The sequence below is a fragment of the Homo sapiens genome, chromosome 6 (genome assembly GCF_000001405.40).
Source record: "Homo sapiens chromosome 6, GRCh38.p14 Primary Assembly".
In the NCBI taxonomy this organism is placed as follows: domain Eukaryota; kingdom Metazoa; phylum Chordata; class Mammalia; order Primates; family Hominidae; genus Homo; species Homo sapiens.
The window spans coordinates 44,153,227-44,158,819 of record NC_000006.12 but is presented as its reverse complement, the minus strand read 5'-3'; the positions used below and the strand labels follow the sequence as shown (position 1 = coordinate 44,158,819).

Genomic DNA, 5,593 nt, shown 5'->3' with positions numbered 1-5,593 from the left:
GAAGGTTCTGGTGGGAGGGGGAGAAGAGACCCTCCCCCCAGAACTCTCTCATTGCAGTGGGATTCCTAGGTCAGCAGCCGGTTTAACAGCTGCCTTCCCTTTTCTCCTTCTCAGTAACCCAGCCCCTTACCCAGCTGAGGGCTACCCGCTTTAGGGACAGATGACCCAGCACCCCTGCCTTGCACAGCCTCCACCAGCCTGGCTGTCCTCACTGTATCACGGTCATCCCATCAGGGTAGGTCCCAGTCCCTTTTTTTCAGCCCAAGGTTTCCAGGAAGGGGTTGTCCCTGACACACCAACCTGACCTTTACATCCAGAAAGCCTTCTCATTCCCAAAAGCCCCTTTCTCACTGACATGGCATTTTTCCTGTGTTGCTGTCTTCACATGGCACCCTCCTCTGTGTCTCTTCTTCTTATAAGGACACCAGTCATATGGGGCTAGGGTCCCATGCATTTCAGTATGACCTCATCTTAATTGAACGAATTACATCTGCAACCACCCTGTTTCCAAATGAGGTCACATTCTGAAGTACTGGGGGCCAGGACTTCAACATGCCTTTTTGGGGGACACGATTCCACCTGCAACACTCTCCTTGCCTAGCCCCAGTCTGGCAAGGTTAGGCCACTGGTCTGACCACATGTCCTGCCTCTGCACTGGAAAGTGGGAATGCTTTGAGCTAAGAACTCTGCTCCAGAGTGCAGTCTTCTCTGGAGTGTATGATGGCTGAGGACAGGGACTGTCAAGGTCATCCCAGTGCCCCTCAGCCCTGCCTGGTGCTAATCAGGCACAGAACAGGTGTGAGAGCACCCAATGGGATCAGAGAACCTTGTTCCAAGCTCTGAAACAGGAGCTGACCTTGGGCGAGCCCTCCCCCTTTCTCCTTTCTGGGACTCAATCTCCTCATCTACGAGAATATTAATTATGGTTTGTTATTATGTGCCAAACACTGGGCTAAGAACTTCCTACTTATTTAATCCTTAAAACAGCCAGAGGCCATGACATTGCTATTCCCATTTTATAGATGAGGAAAGTGAGGTCTAGAGGTATGATGCAACTTGCCCAGGGTCACACAGCTGTTAAGCGGTCGAGCCAGGATTTAAACTAATAACTTCAGATTTTTTTTTTTTTTTTTTTTTTTGAGATGGAGTCTCGCTCTTTTGCCCAGGCTGGAGTGAAGTGGTGCAATCTCAGCTCACTGCAACCTCTGCCCCCCGGGTTCAAGCGATTCTCCTGCCTCAGCCTCTCAAGTAGCTGGGATTACAGGTGCCCACCACCATGCCCAGCTAATTTTTGTATTTTTAGTAGAGACGGGGTTTCGCCATGTTGGGCAGGCTGGTCTCGAACTCCTGACCTCAGGTGATCACTCGCTTCGGCCTCCCAAAGCGCTAGGATTATAGGCATAAGCCACCGTGCCCGGCCATAACTTTAGCTCTTATCCGTATCTTCTGCTGCCCCCAGCTGTGAAAGGAGGAAGTGGTCTTTGGGGATCCTGTGGTCTCCCCTGCCCACTCCTGATTCCACTATTGCACCTCTTGGATGCCTCTAATGTGATCTGCCTGGACATGAACTCTGTGACGAGGTGCCAGGGGTAGGGTGCAGGCAGGCACGGGTGTTCCTCTCTATTACAGCCTCCCACCCTGGGGGAGGGCTGTCCTCAGGACTCTTGCTCAGTGTGCTGCTTGGGCATTATCTGGAGTTTCACATTTGGAAATGCTGGAACCTGGCTTTGAACTTCAGGCCCTGCAGGAAAGGGAAGGCATGCTGGGCAGATGAGGAATGAGAGGGTCTCGGCTAACCAGAGGTGGGGGCTGAGGTCTGTCCAGGCCATGCTTTGCAGACAAGGGGGCTTGCCAGGCAAATGGCGGTGGTGTGCCTGCCCATCCATACGGAAAACAGGCTTCGGGAGCACCGAGAAGCCTTCACACAACCAAGGTGCTCCTTTCAAAGCCATGCCAATATTTGTCCAACCACCAGCAGGCACTCCCTTGGCCCCAAGACTTTGGGGACTCTACCTGGGAGCTCATGTTTCACAACTGCAGATCTGACATACATATGCAGGCTGAGGCCAGGACCAAGGCCTCAACTTTCACCTCCACTGTCACTGGCCCATCCTCCACCCACAGCCCGCCCATAAACACTGACCCTCCAAGCTGTGTTTGCCGCAGCTCCCTGCAGCCTGGGGCTGGACCTTGGGCGCTCTTTGCTCCTGCTCCTTGCTGGCGCCTGGGCAATCTTTATCAGGCTTGCTGTGTTTGCTGTTCCTGCTGTTGGTGGTTCCTGTTGACTTTTGTGGAACCTGGTTCTCCTCCTCCTCTGAGGTCTCTTTTCTTCCCTCTAAGAGTTCCTTTTTCTTCCTTTTCTTCAGGGTTGCAAAGTGATTTAGTGACAGAATAAGGACTGGAATGCAGGCCTCCTACAGTACATGCAGTACATGCTGTGTGTGCATGTGTGTGGGTGTGCACCACATGGCTCTGTGGGCCTTTGCAGGGTGGGCTACAGCAGTCACAGGACCTTTTTTCGAGGTGATTTTTTTTTGTTTTTTTTTGAGACAGGGTCTTGCCCTGTCGCCCAGGCTGGAGTGCAGTGGCATGATCTCAGCTCACTGCAGCCTCCACCTCCCAGGTTCAAGTGATTCTCATGCCTCAGCCTCCCAAGTAGCTGGGATTACAGGGGTGCACCACCATGCCCAGCTAATTTCTGTATTTTTTGTAGAGATGGGGTTTCATCATGTTGGCCAGGCTGGTCTCGAACTCCTGAACTCAAGTGATCCACCCACCTTGGCCTCCCAAAGTACTGGGATTACAGGCGTGAGCCACCGCGCCTGGCGAGAAGGTGAATTTGAGCTGGGTCTTGGAGAATGGGTAAGATTTGACTGGAGGGTGGGAGGGGGCTTCTCATTGAGGAGATCAGGCCCTCCTGGGGAAGGGACAGATGGGCTGGCGCCAGGCTTACTTTGAGGTGCTCAGAAGGGCCTTCGTCCTGGCCCAGCATGGACCCTGTGGCTTTGCACGACCTTTTCTCCCTGAATCTCTGTCCCATGTGTGTTGCTCAGGGACTCAGGGGAATGATCAGAGTGGGCGAGGCTGGTATGGTGGCCACCTGGGCACAGGGGCCCTTCCTGCCTCTGAGATATCCCTTAAGTCTCTCCCCAGCCCCACTCTCTCCTCTCAGTGACACAGAAATGAGACTCTGAACAAGTCCCTTGCCCAGCGTCATGCAGGGACCTCAAAGAGGCCCTCCAGATAGGAGGGTGGGGACCCGGCCCAGGTGCCCAGGGCAGCACAAGTCAGACACCTGCCTCAGAGCTTTTCTTTGTTTTTATTTTAAAGGAAAAAAACAAAAAAGAACAAAAAAACCAAAAAAAAAACAGTGCAAAAACCCATTTTCCAGTGTCAGCCTTGCCCACCCCCACCCCCAGGCCACCCCAGCTGTGAGCCTGACTCTTCCTCCCACTCAGCACCCCCTCCCCCCTCATGCATCCCCTAGGGGCTGGAGGCTCCACTTCCCTGGAGGGCCAGATCCCAGGAGGAACTGTGGGGTGGAAAAAACGGAGGGGGGGGAACAGCCCCAGATCCACCTGCCCCCCAGGTCTCCAGCCACCGGCACCAGGTGCACCAGGTACTCCTCTTGGCTCTCATTAACCCTCTCCTGGTCATGCTACTAGCTGGGGAGGGGTGGGGGGTACTGATCTGGGGGAACTCCCTCTGCACCCCTCTTTGCCCCGGGGCCGGCTCGGGGCTCTCCTCACTGAGGTTGGGGGGCTCCCTCCCTCCATCATGGGGGAGAGCAGTGAAACCCCCAAGTTTAAATACCTTAATGAAAGCAGGGGCTGGGGAGGAAGGGGCTTTAGATCTAATAAATTATTAGCGTTTTAGTGTCCGTGGGAGTGGGGGTGGGGTGGGGCAGGATGTGGCCTCCAGGGCCCCTCCCTCCCCTTACTGGTGAATCTCATTCTCTATGAGGCTGTCCTCGCAAGACTGGAAGTCTGTGTCCGTGAGGGCGTCGGGTGGCATCAGCAACTCCTCATCTTGGGATGAGGATGATGGGGGCTCATCCCCTGAGCTCCCAGGAGCCCCATCCCCATCCCCGTCCACCTCTGAGTCCTGCAGCACCTGAGCGATGTATTTCTGAAGGAGGAGAGGAAATGGGGGCAAGGTGAACAGCTGCCCCTCATGGATTGCGGGAACACCAGGGCATGTAGGACAGCAGAGTGGGCAGGGCCCTGGGGGGCGGGGGCAGCCCTCCAGGGAGACCAGCTCTCTTCCCGCCCCCATGGGGTCTGGCACAGGTTCCCCTTTCTGCAGGACTAAGGGAACACTGGGCTTTGAGGCTGAGTCTGTCAGAGGCCCCTCCCAACCCTTGAGGGCACTCACCGCAGATTTGGGGACAGCAGCAGCAGTGGGGGGCCGTCCATTGCTTCTGGGGTCCACAGTATCTGTCTCCGTGTGCTCAATCTTGAGGGGCCCAGAATGAGTCAGGAAGTGGGGGCATGTCCTCAGCCCTGATCATGACCCCACGCCCGCTTGGCCCTGTTGGCGCTGCCCTCAGCCCTCGCCAGCCCTGTGGCCCTCTGCATTCCTCCCCTTGAGCTCCTGCCCGCAGCCATCCGCCTGCCACCCTTGCCCCACACCTTGTAGTTGTGGGCACTGAGGTATTTGAAGTGTCCAAAGCAGACGTGGCAGAGACAGATGACGATGGTGATGACCAGGACCACAAATGTGAACATAGACGTGGGAGCTAGGAACCCTGGTGTTGGGGGGCAAAGAATGGGGTTGCTATCTCCTGTGGGCCTCCCCACCCCAGCTTCTGATACCCTCTGAATGCAGTCCTCACTCTCCCAGGTGCTACAGACTGGCCCCAGCCTCTCCCAGGCCCCTTGCCTGCCACCCCCAGCCATGCGGCTTCTCCTGTGGCCTGCTCTGGCTGGAATCCACTCTGCTCGCCACCCCCCGTTCCCTGGGTAGGGATCCCTCACCCGTGCGCATGGTGGAAAAGAAGAGCAGCCAGAAGAGGCAGAGGATGGGCGCGGCCACCACCTGGTTCACAGCCCCCGAGTGGATCTTCTTGTCCAGCTTGGCCGGCAGGTAGGCGTAGTAGAGATTGTACCTGTCTACCAGGTGCTTCAGCAGCATGTACATGAGCCCTAAGGGAAGCCACATGGGCCCTGACCTCGGAACCAGTGCTGCCGAACCTTTTGTGTGTCTGTCACAGGTTGTTCTGGTCCTGAGAGTGCTGAAGGGTTGGCCCCCTCCTCCTGCCCGGGCCCCAGGACGGGATAGTGCCCCGTGCCCCAGCGTGATCACAGAACTTCAGCTTCCTCCGCTACAACCCCTCATTCTACTCTCCTCATCAGGAATTCTACTATTGGAAATCTAGTCATTTGAATCAACAAGCATCTTCTTAAAACCCGTATCATTTTTCTCTAACCCTGTCCCTAAACAGATACGTATAAATTAAGGGACAAGTTCTATTTCCCCAGAGGCTGAGGGATAGGGAGTTTCTAATGAGGACAAGGAAGTTAGTTTGGGAACTTGGAGCCTTCAATAACCAGGGAGGGTTGGTTAAGGAGTTAGGATGTTATTAGGGAGGAAA

General features: G+C 55.4%; 1 protein-coding gene and 1 long non-coding RNA gene across 25 annotated transcripts in view; one reads left to right on the top strand and one right to left on the bottom strand.

Annotated features, from left to right (window-relative positions):
• LOC107986599 (uncharacterized) lies at positions 217-4,982 on the top strand. 3 transcript variants are annotated; one of them, XR_002956350.2, is made up of 3 exons: positions 217-235; positions 3,488-3,619; positions 4,843-4,982. It is a non-coding gene; the product is annotated as an uncharacterized LOC107986599 (long non-coding RNA). The 3 variants fall into 3 exon arrangements; XR_002956349.2 differs by lacking the exon at positions 217-235 and adding an exon at positions 2,781-2,862; XR_007059592.1 differs by lacking the exon at positions 217-235 and adding an exon at positions 2,794-2,833.
• The window catches only part of TMEM63B (transmembrane protein 63B), a 28,887-nt gene continuing 26,594 nt past the window's right edge, over positions 3,301-5,593 (bottom strand). For 21 of the 22 annotated variants that reach the window (XM_017010999.2, XM_047418973.1, XM_047418970.1 and 18 more), the window contains 4 exons: positions 4,977-5,144; positions 4,632-4,747; positions 4,375-4,455; positions 3,301-4,128 (listed from right to left, as the gene is read on the bottom strand). In XM_017010999.2, coding sequence (XP_016866488.1) covers positions 3,937-4,128; positions 4,375-4,455; positions 4,632-4,747; positions 4,977-5,144 — 557 coding nt within the window. In that variant the 3' untranslated portion in view covers positions 3,301-3,936. Of the gene's footprint in view, positions 4,129-4,374; positions 4,456-4,631; positions 4,748-4,976; positions 5,145-5,593 lie in introns of those variants that run through there. The other variant, XR_001743506.3, reaches the window with a different exon arrangement.